This window comes from Homo sapiens, chromosome 11, assembly GCF_000001405.40.
Source record: "Homo sapiens chromosome 11, GRCh38.p14 Primary Assembly".
Lineage (NCBI taxonomy): Eukaryota > Metazoa > Chordata > Mammalia > Primates > Hominidae > Homo > Homo sapiens.
Genome location: NC_000011.10, coordinates 62,646,795 through 62,660,943, shown reverse-complemented (window position 1 = coordinate 62,660,943; position 14,149 = coordinate 62,646,795). Strand labels below are relative to the sequence as shown.

At 51.2% G+C, this 14,149-nt stretch overlaps 1 protein-coding gene across 1 annotated transcript, besides 3 other annotated features; it reads left to right on the top strand.

Annotated features, from left to right (window-relative positions):
* Positions 7,320–7,409: a silencer, noted in NCBI's record as "silent region_3424". NCBI's record gives its function as "represses an Ori minimal core promoter by ATAC-STARR-seq in GM12878 lymphoblastoid cells {active_cell/tissue: GM12878}" and the evidence as "EXISTENCE:reporter gene assay evidence [ECO:0000049][PMID:35858748]".
* Positions 7,472–8,231: an enhancer, noted in NCBI's record as "H3K27ac hESC enhancer chr11:62420185-62420944 (GRCh37/hg19 assembly coordinates)". NCBI's record gives its function as "activates a minimal SCP1, AML or CMV promoter by ChIP-STARR-seq in naive H9 embryonic stem cells {active_cell/tissue: H9 hESC(naive)}" and the evidence as "EXISTENCE:reporter gene assay evidence [ECO:0000049][PMID:30033119]".
* On the top strand, positions 7,642–14,096 carry INTS5 (integrator complex subunit 5). Its single transcript, NM_030628.2, has 2 exons — positions 7,642–7,774; positions 10,945–14,096. The coding sequence occupies exons 1-2, from the start codon at positions 7,695–7,697 to the stop codon at positions 13,922–13,924; spliced, it is 3,060 nt and encodes a 1,019-aa protein (NP_085131.1). The 5' UTR covers positions 7,642–7,694; the 3' UTR covers positions 13,925–14,096.
* Positions 7,700–7,899: a silencer, noted in NCBI's record as "silent region_3423". NCBI's record gives its function as "represses an Ori minimal core promoter by ATAC-STARR-seq in GM12878 lymphoblastoid cells {active_cell/tissue: GM12878}" and the evidence as "EXISTENCE:reporter gene assay evidence [ECO:0000049][PMID:35858748]".

Genomic DNA, 14,149 nt, shown 5'->3' with positions numbered 1-14,149 from the left:
GCCATGATGATCATTACCTGAATTAGTTATTACTGTGTTACAAAATGGTGATTTTCCAATACTGTCATTCATTCATTCATTCATTCATATTATTCCTATGACATTCTATAAAGAAGAGCCCAGGCCATGCATGGTGGTTCACTCCTGTAATCCCAGCACTATGGACAGCTGAGGCCAGGGGATCACCTGAGGTCAGGAGTTCAAGACCAGCCTGTCCAACATGGTGAAACCCCGTCTCTACTGAAAATACAAAAAATTAGTCAGGTGTGGTGGCCTGCACCTGTAGTCCCAGATACTCGGGAGGCTGAGGCAGAAGAATCACTTGAACCCGGGAGGGGGAAGTTGCAGTGAGCCGAGATCGTGCCACTGCACTCCAGCCTGGGTGACAGAGCAAGACTTTTCAACAACAAAAAAGAGCCCTGCCCCTTTTTTATTATCACTATGAATTTACAGATTTTTTCCAATGTTATAATTTATTGCTAACACTTTTTCATGCTGAAATTATGACAAGTTTGGCAAATAATAGCTTCTTCAAGTTGGTCCCTAAGTCCTTATGACACAACCACAGTATTTGAGCACTTCATTGCTTTCTGGCACAATAATATATTCCAGACTCACCTATTACTTTCCCTGCCTAAGAACTTGGAGTCAGCAATTTCACTAGTAAAAAATTATTATGTCCAGTTGTTTTCCCTGTGCAATATTTCACTTAATGTTCAGTGGTTTTTGTTTGTTTTCTTTTCTTTTTTTTTTTTTTTTTGAGTCTCGCTCTGTCCCCCAGGCTGGAGTGCAGTGGCGCAATCTCAGCTCACTGCAAGCTCCGCCTCCTGGGTTCACGCCATTCTCCCGCCTCAGTCTCCCCAGTAGCTGGGACTACAGGAGCATGCCATCATGGCCAGCAAAGTTATTTATTTATTTATTTATTTATTTATTTATTTTGAGACAGAGTGTTGCTCTGTCACCCAGGCTGTAGTGCAGTGGCGCAATCTCGGCTCACTGCAACCTCCGCCTCCCAGGTTCAAGCGATTCTCCTGCCTCAGCCTCCCGAATAGCTGGGATTACTACAGGTGCACGCCACCACGCCCAGCTAAGTTTTTGTATTTTCAGTAGAGATGGGGTTGCACCATGTTAGCCAGGATGGTCCCAATCTCCTGACCTTGTGATCTGCCGGCCTTGGTCTCCCAAAGTGCTGGGATTACAGGCGTGAGCCACTGCGCCCGGCCTTATTTTTTTTTTTTGAGACGGAGTCTTGCCCTGTTGCCCAGGCTGGAATGCAATGGCATGATCTCGGCTCACTGCAACCTCCGCCTCCCGGGTTAGAGCGATTCTCCTGTCTCAGCCTCTCGAGTAGCAGGGATTACAGGCATGCGCCACCATGCCCGGCTAAGTTTTTTTAATCTTTAGTAGAGACAGGGTTTTAGTAGATACAGGATGGTCTCAAACTCCTGACTTCGTGATCCGCCTGCCTCGGCCTCCCAAAGTGCTGGGATTACAGGTGTGAGCCACCGTGCCTGGCCATTTTTTATTTTTTGTAGACATGGCTTCGCCATTTTGCCTAGGCTGGCCTCCAACTCCTGGGCTCAAATGATCCACCTGCATCGGTCTCCCAAAGTGTTGGGATTACAGGCATGAGCCACCACGCCCGGCTAATGTCCAGTTTTAAACACAGGAGAAGTATTCTTTTGACATTGAACTGGCCGGTTGTGATGGCTCACGCCTGTAATCCCAGCACTTTGGGAGGCTGAGGTGGGCGGATCACTTGGGATCAGGAGTTTTAGAGCAGCCTGGCCAACATGATGAAACCCTGTCTCTACTAACAATACTAAAACTAGCTGGGTGTGGCAGCACATATCTGTAGTTTCAGCTACTTAGGAGGCTGAGGCAGGAGAATCGCTTGAACCTGGAAGGCAGAGGTTGCAGTGAGCCAAGATTGTGCCACTGCACTCCAACCTGGGCGACAGAGTGAGACTCTGTCTCAAAAAAAAAAAAAAAAACACGAAAAAAACGAAGGCCGGGCGCGGTGGCTGAAGCCTGTAATCCCAGCACTTTGGGAGGCCGAGGCTGGCGAATCACGAAGTCAAGAGATCGAGACCATCCTGCCTAACACGGTGAAACCCCGTCTCTACTAAAAGTACAAAAAAATTAGCCGGGCGTGGTGGCGGGCGCCTGTAGTCCCAGCTGCTTGGGAGGCTGAGGCAGGAGAATGGTGTGAACCCGGGAGGTGGAGCTTGCAGTGAGCCGAGATCGCGCCACTGCACTGGGAGACAGAGCAAGACTCCATCTCAAAAAAAAAACAAAAAAAAAAAACGAAAAGAAATTGAACTGTGTTCAGATGCAGTAAGGAAAGGAGAGGAGGAGATAGGAAAGAGAAAGAAAGACATTTTCAACGGCTTGGCATGCTCAATCCTTCATAGTTTTGTTCTCTCTGTGCCTAACAGGGAAAAGGAACTTACTGTGTTCTAGGAACTGTTAGAAGTTGAGTGTAGCTCTCGCCTGTAATACCAGCACTTTGGGAGGCCGAGGCGGGCGGATCGCGAAGTCAGGAGATTGAGACCATCCTGGCTAACACGGTGAAAACCCGTCTCTACTAAAAATACAAAAAATTAGCCGGGCGCGGTGGCGGGCGCCTGTAGTCCCAGCTACTCGGGAGGCTGAGGCAGGAGAATGTCGTGAATCCGGGAGGCGGAGCTTGCAGTGAGCCGAGATCGCGCCACTGCACTCCAGCCTGGGCGACAGAGCGAGACTCTGTCTCAAAAAAAAAAAAAAGAAAAGAAAAAGAAAAGTAGGGCCAGTAGGGAATATGAATTTTATTCTAAGTATAATGAGAAGTATTAAAGTTGTTTCTTCTAGCTGTATTTTGCTTTTTATTATGGAAAAATCTCAAACATTTACAAAAGTAGACAAAATATGAAAATATTACTCATTGCCCAGCTCCAACCATCATTAATCCCCTGTTCCCAACTTATAATTTCTTCTTTTTTTTGAGACAGAGTTTTGCTCTTGTTGCCGAGGCTGGAGTTCAATGGCACGATCTCGGCTCACCGCAACCTCCGCCTCCCAGGTTGAAGCGATTCTCCTGCCTCAGCCTACCTAGTAGCTGGGATTACAGGCATGTGCCACCACACCCAGCTAATTTTGTATTTTTAGTAGAGACGGGGTTTCTTCATGTTGGTCAGGCTGGTCTCGAACTCCCAACCTCAGGTGATCTGCCCTCCTTGTCCTCCCAAAGTGCTGGGATTACAGGCATGAGCCACTGCTCCCGGCCCAACTTAAAATTTCTTTTCTTTTTTTTTGAGCTGGAGTTTCGCTCTGTCATCCAGGCTGGAGTGCAGTGGTGAGATCTCGGCTCACTCTAACCTCCGCCTCCTGGGTTCAAGCGATTCTCCTGCTTCAACCTTCCAAGTAGCTGGGATTACAGACACCCGCCACCATGCTCAGCTAATTATTTGTATTTTTAGTAGAGACAGGTTTTCACCACGTGGCCAGGCTGGTCTTGAACTCCCGACCTCAAGTGATCCGCTCTCCTCAGACTCCCAAAGTGCTGGGATTACAGGTGTGAACCACCTCGCCTTGCCACTATCCCCATTTTAGAGAGGCAAAATCAAGGTACAGAAAAACTTGCCCATGGTAACTAGCTAGAAAATGATAGAAGCACTTGGGTCCGGGCAGTCTAATTCCAGAGTCCTTCAAACTTCCTCTTGTCACTGTTGTCATTCAAAGAGGAGTTTCTGTATCTAGCATTTACGCTAAGCTCTACATAAATTATCTCAAGTGACCTTCACAAAGTGTGTGAGATGGAGGTGTCATGCTCGTTTCACAGACAAGGAAACAGGTTCCAAACAGCTGGGTCACTTGCTCAGGGTTATTTTACTAATAAATGGCAGATAGGAATCCAGATCTGTCCAACTCCAAAATGAACACCCTTAGATTATGCAATCTCTAAGGTCAAGAAATACATTCTAGTCTCACAGCTGGAAGAATTCATCTGGTTCAAAAGCTTCCTTTCACAGATCTGAGGCCCTGAGAAGGGAAGTGTTGGGTCCAAGTTTGAGGCAGAGCTAGGGGTAGAAATTGCCTCAGATTTACCATCCTAGAATGATGCTTGGTAATAGGTGGTAGAAACACTGTAAATGATTGAACTTCTAAAATGTAAGAACAGACGGGGCACTGTGGCTTATGCCTATAATTCTAGCACTTTGGGAGGCTGAGGTGGGAGGATTGCTTGAGGCCAGGATTTCAAGACCAGACTGGGGAACATCTCGAATTTAAAAAATTTAAGTAAATAAAATTTAAGAACAAACACAAAATCATGCATGAGGGCTGGGCGCAGTGGCTCAGGCCTGTAATCCCAGCACTTTGGGAGGCCCAGGCAGGTGGATTATCTGAGGTCAGGAGTTCAGGACCAGCCTAGCCAACATGGTGAAACCCCGTCTCTACTAAAAAATATAAAAATTAGCCAGGTGTGGTGGCGGGCGCTAGGAATCCCATCTACTCAGGAGGCTGAGACAGGAGAATCGCCTGAACCTAGGAGGTGGAGGTGGCAGTGAGCCGAGATTATGGTGTTGCACTCCGGCCTGGGTGACAGAGCGAGACTCTGTCTCAAAAACAACAACAACAACAACAAAACCTGCTATATCCTCATCACCTATAACAGTGTCTGCCTGGCATGTAGTAGGTTCTGTTTTTTTGTTTGTTTTGTTTAAGACGGAGTCTTGCTCTGTTGCCCAGGCTGGAGGGCAGTGGTGCAGTCTCAGCTCACTGTAACCTCCACCTCCCGGGTTCAGGCGATTCTCCTGCCTCAGCCTCCTGAGTAGCTGGGATCACAGGTGTTCACCACCACGCTGGCTAATTTTTTTTTTTTTTTTTGAGACTGAGTCTCGCTCTGTTGCCCAGGCTGGAGTGCAGTGGTGCAATCTTGGCTCATCACAACCTCCACCTCCCGGTTTCAAGGGATTCTCCTGCCTCAGCCTCCAGAGTAGCTGGGACTATAGGTGGGCGCCACAATGCCCAGCTAATTTTTTGTATTTTTAGTAGAGACAGAGTTTCACTATGTTGGCCAGCTTGTCTCGAACTCCTGACCTTGTGATCCCCCTGCCTCGCCCTCCCAAAGTTCTAGGATTATAGGCATGATCCATCACGCCCAGCCCGAGGATATAGCTTTTAACAAAATAGGCCAAGTCTCTATTGTCAAGCAGCTTATTTTCTGTTTCATTCAATAAACATAATAAAAATAGCTAATGCTTATCTAGTGCTTACCATTGCTGGCACCAAGTGCTATACAATGACCATACTACCTCATTTCAATTTTCGTAACAACCCTTTGAGGTATTTGTACTATTAATATTACCTCCTCATTTCCAGAAGAAGGAACAGTTATGGAGTGGTTAAGTAAAGTATACAACTAGTAGGTAGAAGAGCTGGAACCTGATCTAGGTACACTGGCTTGAGTGAGGGCTCTTGATGAGGTGTACTGGCTCCCTTTACAGTTAGCAAGCTCTATCTCTGGCAGGTGTGGGGCTGTGAGTTAGACGAAGGTCCCTATGCTGGGAAGCTGTGGGAGAGAGAGAAGCTTAAATAATGAAGACGGATGGAAGGATGTTATTCATACTTGCTACTGGGAGGACATCTTCAGGCTAGCTAGCCCAATTTGTTTTGGGCTCCCTCTCCCTCCTTCTCTTTCTTAGTTTTTCTTTTTCTTTTATGAGTTTTCTCTTCTTTCCATCTCTTTTCTGCTTTCTCTCTTCCCTTTTCTCTCTCTCTCGTAAAAGTATTTTTGTAGGAGGGGTGCAGTGGCTAACACCTGTAATCCCAGCACTTTGGGAGGCTGAGGCGGGCGGATCACCTGAGGTCAGGAGTTTGAGACCAGCCTGGCCAACATGTCTCCAATTAGCTGGGCGTGGTGGCACATGCTTGTAGTCCCAGCTACTTGGGAGGCTGAGGCAGGAGAATTGCTTGAACCTGGGAGGTGGAGGTTGCAGAGACGAGACTGCACTCCAGCCTGGGCGACAGAATGAGATTTTAAAAAAAGCCTGGGTGCGGTGGCTCTTGCCTGTAATCCCAGCATTTTGGGAGGCTGAGGTGGATGGATCACTTGAGGTCAGGAGTTTGAGACCAGATTGGCGGACAGGGGAAAACGTTGTCTCTATAAAAATAAAAAAATTAGCCAGATTTGGTAGTGGATGCCTATAGTCCCAGCTACTCGGGAGGCTGAGGCAGGAGAATCTCCTGAACCTGGAAAGTGGAGGTTGCAGTGAGCTCAGATCTCACCACTGCACTCCAGCCTGGGTGAGGGAGTGAGACTCTGTCTCAAAAGGAAAACGAAACAAAACAAAACAAAAACAAAGAGAGACTGGCCGGGTGTGCGTGGCTTACTCCTGTAATCCCAGTGCTTTGGGAAGCTGAGGTGGGTGAATCACTTGAGGACAGGAGTTTGAGATCAGACTGGGCAACATAGCGAGACACTCGCCCCACCCACATGCAAATCCCTAACTCTGAAAATATTTAAAAAGTAGCCAAGTGTGATGGCGCACGCCTGTAATCTCAGCTACCTAGAACGCTGAGGTGGGAGGATGTCTTGAGCCCAGGAGGTCGGGGCTGCCGAGAGGGGTGATCCTATCACTGCACGGTCACAAAATAAACAACAATAACAACAACAACACCAACAAAAAAACCTTCCTATGCTTCATTTTTTTAAAGTCCTGAGTTGAGGCCGGGCGCGGTGGCTCACGCCTGTAATCCCAGCACTTTGGGAGGCCGAGGCGGGTGGATCATGAGGTCAGGAGATCGAGACCATCCTGGCTAACAAGGTGAAACCCCGTCTCTACTAAAAATACAAAAAATTAGCCGGGCGCGGTGGCGGGCGCCTGTAGTCCCAGCTACTCGGGAGGCTGAGGCAGGAGAATGGCGTGAACCCGGGAAGCGGAGCTTGCAGTGAGCCGAGATTGCGCCACTGCAGTCCGCAGTCCGGCCTGGGCGACAGAGCGAGACTCCGTCTCAAAAAAAAAAAAAAAAAAAAAAAGTCCTGAGTTGAACATTTTGTATTTTTGGCGTTAGGAAAAATGATTAAAATACCCCTGTGAGTGTTTTAGTTTCTCTCTCTCTCTCTCTCTCTCTCTCTCTCTCTCTCTCTCTCTCTCTCTCTCTCTCTCTCTCTCTCTCTCTCTCTCTGTGTGTGTGTGTCTATCGGGACTCTTGCTCTGTCGCCCAGGCTGGAGTGCAGTGGCGCGATCTCGGCTCACTGCAATCTCTGCCTCCCGGGATCAAGCGATTCTCCTGCCTCAGCCTCCCGAGTAATCGGGATTACAGGCATAAGCCACCACGCCTGGCTAATTTTTGTATTTGCAGTAGAGACGGCAGGCTAGTCTTGAACTCCTGACCTCAGGTGATCCGCCCTCTCGGGCTCTCAAAGTGCTGGGTTTACAGGCGTGAGCCACCGCGCCCGGCCTAGTCTGTATGTCAATAGGCTTTTGAATAAAGTGGTTGCATATAGGGCGAATCGGCTTCCTGCTATCATCGTCCCGGGATTATGCTCTGGGACTCCGACAGGGTGCGGAACTAATGTAAGAGGGTCGAGGACATCGCCGGATTAATTTTCCTGCGAGGCCTGGTAGCTGGTTCCTTTCGCGTTTCCTGTCAGCGCGCATGCGCCGCCTGCGCTCCGCCGCTCGCGCCTCGGGCTCGGCTCGGGCTCCGGGATGTCCGCGCTGTGCGACCCTCCCGGGGCCCCAGGGCCACCTGGGCCTGCCCCGGCCACCCACGGTCCCGCGCCTCTCAGGTAGTTAGAGCCCTTGGCACCTTCCCCCCATCGCGCGGCCCCGCGCCGATCCCTAGCCTTCTCGGTAGAAACCCGGATCCTACCTCGAGAACTCACGTCAGGGTTCTCAGATTCTTGGTCAGGTCCTCCCAGAACTCAGGGACTGCTTCACCAAAACTCAGGGCTCCAGTGCCCGCCCTCCCGACCTCGGGCCTGCCTCTCGCTAGACTCCAATGCCTAACTACCCTCGACCCCGGGCTTCCTCTCCCAAGAGTCGGGGGTATCTGAACTCTTGGGAACCCAGCTGCCCTGGCCATTTTTGACCCTAGGAAACCCAGTGTCCTGACTTCATAGAGACTCCCTGAGAACCCAGGCCCAGAAACAGAATGCAGTCCGGCTGAGATATTCCCTTATATTAGGGTGTTTTTTGGAGGAAACAGAGGAATGGCACTGTTAGAGCCTTATCAGCACCTAGAGGATGCTGTCTTCTTTGACAGAAAAGGCGATAAGAGAAAGGGGATTTGCCACCTCCCATAACATTGGCTTCTGAACCTCTGAGACTGAACCCATATATGTTTTAGGAGGGAAAGGGTTGAAAAGCATTATTACTCTGTGCCCTGGGACACCCTGATGTCCAAGCACATTGAGGGTGCTGAGTAGGTGGTGGTGGTTGATGTGGTGGTAGGTGACTAAGATTTTGCAGAATATGGGAAGAAACAGATGTTAGGAGGGAGAGCCCTTAATAAGGTGCTTACAATTTTTTTTTTTTCCCATTAAGAGATTTCAAGGTGCTTGTGTTGTGGGATGGGGCGGGGCGGGGGTGGTGGTAGAAGGTGATAAAGTGGAAAGGTGTGTTTTTTTTTGTTTTTGTTTTTTGAGATGGTCGCCCTGACTCCCAGGCTGGAGTGCAGTGGCGTGATCTCGGCTTACTGCAACCTCCGCCTCCTGGGTTCAAGCGATTCTCATGCCTCAGCCTCCTGAGTAGCTGGGATTACACCATGCCTGGCTATTTTTTTTTTTTTTTTGTATTTTTAATAGAGATGAGGTTTCACCCTGTTGGCCAGGCTGGTTTCGATCTTCTGACCTCAAGTGATCCACCCTCCTTGGCCTCCCAGAGTGCTAGGATTACAGACGTGAGGCACCTCAGCCAGCCTGGAAATGTTTTTAAAGCAGATATTATAGAAACACAAATATAGTCAACTCAACAGATATTTATTGACTACCTTCCATATACTGTGTACTTCAATAGAAGTGGATACAGTGTTGAAGAGCACAGAAATGGTTCCTACACTCATGGCGCATATAGTCTGATTGCTTAACCTTGATTTCGTTCTTTTTTTTGACGGCGCACACAGTCTGGGGTGCAGTGGTGTGATTTTGGCTCACTGCAGCCCTGCTTCCAGGGCTCAAGTGATCCTTCTGCCTCAACCTCCCCAGTAGGTGGGACCGCAGGCACATGCGACCATGCCTGGCTAATTATTATTATTATTATTTTTGTAGAGATGGGGTTTCACTATGTTCCTCAGACTGGTCTTGAACTCTTGCGCTCAAGCGATCCACCAGCCTTGGCCTCCCAAAGTGCTGGGATTATAGGCGTGAGCCACTGAAGCCAGCCTTGATTTGTCTGTAAAATGGGATCATAATAGTACCTAACTTATTGAACTGTTGTCAGGATTGAAATAATACACGCAAAGTACTTAAAAGAGTACCTGATATATTCTAAGAGTTATCTGTTGCTGATATTATTACTGTTGTCATTGAAAGAAACATAGCTTTTGGCCGGGCACGTGGCTCACGCCTGTAATCCCAGCACTTTGGGAGGACGAGGCGGGAGGATCACAAGGTCAGGAGATCGAGACCATCCTGGCTAACACGGTGAAACCCCGTCTCTACTAAAAATAAAAAAAAAAATATTAGCCGGGCGTGGTGGCGGGCGCCTGTAGTCCCAGCTACTCAGGAGGCTGAGGCAGGAGAATGGCGTGAACCTGGGAGGTGGAGCTTGCAGTGAGTGGAGATGGCACCACTGCACTCCAGCCTGGGCGGCAGAGCGAGACTCCCTCTCGGGGCGGGGGGAGAAAGAAACATAGCTTTTATTGAGTGATTAGTGTGAATCTGGTATGGAACCTAAGTGCTTTTTTTTCCCTCAGGCCATCCTTCTGCAGAACTTAAGTGCTTTATAAACATTCTCAACCAGGCATGGTGCCTCACACCTGTAATGCCAGCACTTTGGGAGGCTAAGGTGGGCAAACTGCTTGAGGCCATGAAACCAGCCTGTGGAACATAGCCAGACCTCATTTCTATAAAAAGGTTAAAAAGTTAGCTGGGTGTCGTGGCATGTGCTTGAAGTTGCAGCTACTCAGGAGGCTGAGATGGGAGGATGCTTTGAGTCTGGGAGTTCGAGACTGCAGTGAGCTGTGATCTTGGCACTGCACTCCAGCCTGGGTGACAGAGAGAGACCCTGTCTTGAAAAACAAAAACAGGGCGGGAGCAGTGGCTCATGCCTGTACTCCTAGCACTTTGGGAGGCTGAAGTGGGCGGATTACTTGAGGTCAGGAGTTTGAGACCAGCCTGGGCAACATGGTAAAATCTGTCTCTACTAAAAATACAAAAATTAGCCGGGTATGGTGGCACACACCTGTAGTCCCAGCTACTCTGGAGGCTGAGGCAGGAGAATTGCTTGAACTCAGTAGGCGGAGGTTGCAGTGAGCCAAGGTGGCGCCACTGCACTCCAGCCTGGGCGACAAAGCAAGACTCTATCTCAAAAAACAAAACAAAGGCCGGGCGCGGTGGCTCACGCCTGTAATCCCAACACTTTTGGAGGCCGAGGAGGACGGATCATGAGGTCAGGAGATCAAGACCATCCTGGCTAACACGGTGAAACCCCATCTGTACTAAAAATACAAAAAATTAGCTAGGCATGGTGGCGGGTGCCTGTAGTCCCAGCTACTAGGGAGGCTGAGGCAGGAGAATGGCGTGAACCCAGGAGGCGGAGCTTGCAGTGAGCTGAGATCATGCCACTGCACTCCAGCCTGGACAACAGAGCGAGACTCCATCTCAAAAAAAAAAATTCTCTTATGAGGGAAGTATTTTTATTATCCCTATTTAACATAAAAGGCAAAGCTCATACAGGAAAGGTAAGTTGCCTAACATCTCACAACACTCTTAAGTCTGTTTCTTTTGCTTCCTTGTAGTGCTCAGGAGCTGTCCCAGGAAATCAAGGCTTTTCTGACTGGCGTAGACCCCATTCTGGGCCACCAACTCTCAGCCCGGGAACATGCTCGCTGTGGTCTTCTCCTGCTCCGTTCTTTGCCACCTGCTCGGGCTGCTGTGCTTGACCACTTGAGAGGTGTCTTTGATGAGAGTGTCCGGGCCCACCTGGCTGCCCTGGATGAAACCCCTGTGGCTGGTCCACCTCACCTCCGTCCACCTCCACCCTCTCATGTCCCTGCTGGTGGACCTGGTCTAGAGGATGTGGTTCAGGAAGTGCAGCAGGTGCTGTCTGAGTTTATCCGGGCCAACCCAAAGGCCTGGGCACCTGTGATTAGTGCATGGTCCATTGACCTCATGGGGCAACTGAGCAGCACGTACTCAGGCCAGCACCAGCGTGTTCCCCACGCTACTGGCGCTCTTAATGAACTGCTACAGCTGTGGATGGGTTGTAGGGCCACGCGTACATTAATGGACATCTATGTGCAGTGCCTCTCGGCTCTCATTGGTAGCTGCCCAGATGCGTGTGTGGATGCCTTGCTGGATACCTCTGTTCAGCATTCTCCACACTTTGACTGGGTTGTGGCACATATTGGCTCCTCTTTTCCTGGCACCATCATTTCCCGGGTTCTCTCCTGTGGCCTTAAGGACTTTTGTGTCCATGGTGGGGCTGGAGGTGGAGCTGGCAGTAGTGGTGGAAGCTCTTCTCAGACCCCCTCTACAGACCCCTTCCCTGGATCTCCTGCCATTCCTGCGGAGAAACGGGTGCCCAAGATTGCCTCAGTTGTAGGCATCCTAGGTCACCTGGCCTCCCGCCACGGAGATAGCATCCGACGGGAGCTCCTGCGAATGTTCCATGATAGCCTGGCAGGGGGATCTGGAGGCCGCAGTGGGGACCCCTCCCTTCAGGCCACGGTTCCGTTCCTACTGCAGCTGGCAGTCATGTCACCAGCTTTGCTGGGCACTGTCTCTGGAGAGCTTGTGGATTGCCTCAAGCCCCCAGCTGTGCTGAGCCAGCTGCAGCAACACCTTCAAGGATTCCCCCGAGAGGAGCTGGACAACATGTTGAACCTGGCTGTGCACCTGGTGAGCCAGGCCTCTGGGGCAGGTGCCTACCGCTTGCTGCAGTTCCTGGTGGACACAGCTATGCCTGCTTCGGTCATTACCACCCAGGGCCTGGCTGTGCCAGACACCGTGCGTGAGGCTTGTGACCGGCTAATCCAGCTGCTGCTGCTGCACCTGCAAAAACTGGTTCATCACCGGGGAGGGTCTCCTGGGGAAGGGGTGCTAGGCCCGCCCCCACCTCCCCGCTTGGTGCCCTTTTTAGATGCGCTCAAAAACCATGTTGGAGAGCTGTGTGGAGAGACGTTACGATTGGAACGGAAGCGCTTCCTCTGGCAGCACCAGCTCTTGGGCCTGCTGTCTGTCTATACCCGGCCTAGCTGTGGACCTGAGGCCTTGGGCCATCTGCTGAGCCGAGCCCGAAGCCCTGAAGAGTTGAGTTTGGCCACCCAGTTATATGCAGGGCTAGTGGTCAGCCTCTCTGGCCTCCTGCCCCTGGCTTTCCGAAGCTGTCTGGCTCGGGTGCATGCAGGGACATTACAGCCTCCCTTCACGGCCCGGTTCCTGCGCAACTTGGCACTGCTAGTAGGGTGGGAACAGCAGGGTGGCGAGGGCCCTGCAGCCCTAGGGGCGCACTTTGGGGAATCTGCCTCAGCCCATCTGTCTGACCTGGCTCCTCTCCTGCTACATCCTGAGGAGGAAGTAGCTGAAGCTGCTGCCTCTCTCCTGGCCATTTGTCCCTTTCCTTCTGAAGCCTTATCCCCCTCCCAGCTCCTGGGACTGGTAAGGGCTGGGGTGCACCGCTTCTTTGCCTCTCTGAGGCTGCATGGACCCCCAGGTGTGGCCTCAGCCTGTCAGCTTCTCACCCGCCTGTCTCAGACATCCCCAGCTGGGCTCAAGGCTGTCCTGCAGCTGCTGGTTGAAGGAGCCTTACATCGAGGCAACACAGAACTGTTTGGTGGGCAAGTAGATGGGGACAATGAGACTCTCTCAGTTGTTTCAGCTTCTTTGGCTTCTGCCTCCCTGTTGGACACTAACCGGAGGCACACTGCAGCTGTGCCAGGTCCTGGAGGGATTTGGTCAGTTTTCCATGCTGGAGTCATCGGCCGTGGCTTAAAGCCACCCAAGTTTGTCCAGTCACGAAATCAGCAGGAAGTGATCTATAACACCCAGAGCCTCCTCAGCCTCCTGGTTCACTGCTGCAGTGCCCCAGGGGGCACTGAATGTGGGGAATGCTGGGGGGCACCCATCTTGAGTCCAGAGGCAGCCAAAGCAGTGGCAGTGACCTTGGTGGAGAGTGTGTGTCCCGATGCAGCTGGTGCAGAGCTGGCCTGGCCCCCCGAGGAACACGCCCGGGCCACCGTGGAGCGGGATCTCCGCATTGGCCGGCGCTTCCGCGAACAGCCCCTGCTCTTTGAGCTGTTAAAGCTGGTAGCAGCTGCACCCCCAGCCCTGTGCTACTGTTCCGTGCTGCTTCGGGGGCTGCTGGCCGCCCTCTTGGGCCATTGGGAAGCCTCTCGCCACCCTGACACGACCCACTCCCCCTGGCACCTGGAGGCATCCTGCACCTTAGTGGCTGTCATGGCTGAGGGAAGCCTCCTGCCTCCGGCCCTGGGTAATATGCATGAAGTATTTAGCCAACTGGCACCTTTCGAGGTGCGTCTGCTGCTGCTCAGTGTCTGGGGTTTTCTCCGGGAGCATGGGCCCTTGCCTCAGAAGTTCATCTTCCAATCAGAGCGGGGTCGCTTCATTCGGGACTTCTCCAGGGAGGGTGGAGGTGAGGGTGGACCCCATCTGGCTGTGCTGCACAGTGTCCTCCACCGCAACATCGACCGCCTAGGTCTTTTCTCTGGCCGTTTCCAGGCACCTTCACCGTCCACTCTCCTTCGACAGGGGACGTAGCCTTTTCTTGCTCTGGAAGCCCAGGGAGGTTGAGCAGTGAGAGAGGGAAGGGACTAACGTGCTCCGGAAGGGTGGAGGTTTCTCTTCTAAGTCCTTGGTCTAAAGAGCGCTGTCACTTTTTTCTCTCCCACTTTTTTTTTTCTAAATAAAATTTGCCAACTTGAGAAAACCAGTCCAGTGCTTCTGTCATGCTGAGAGCGTGCAAAGTCTGACAGCGCCTGGCTC

Bases quoted from the DNA above. Each gene is read 5' to 3' on its own strand.
- INTS5 (NM_030628.2), top strand. From the start codon at position 7,695: ATGTCCGCGCTGTGCGACCCTCCCGGGGCCCCAGGGCCACCTGGGCCT. The intron at 7,775-10,944 runs GTAGTTAGAGCC...GCTTCCTTGTAG, and splicing joins CACGGTCCCGCGCCTCTCAG to TGCTCAGGAGCTGTCCCAGG.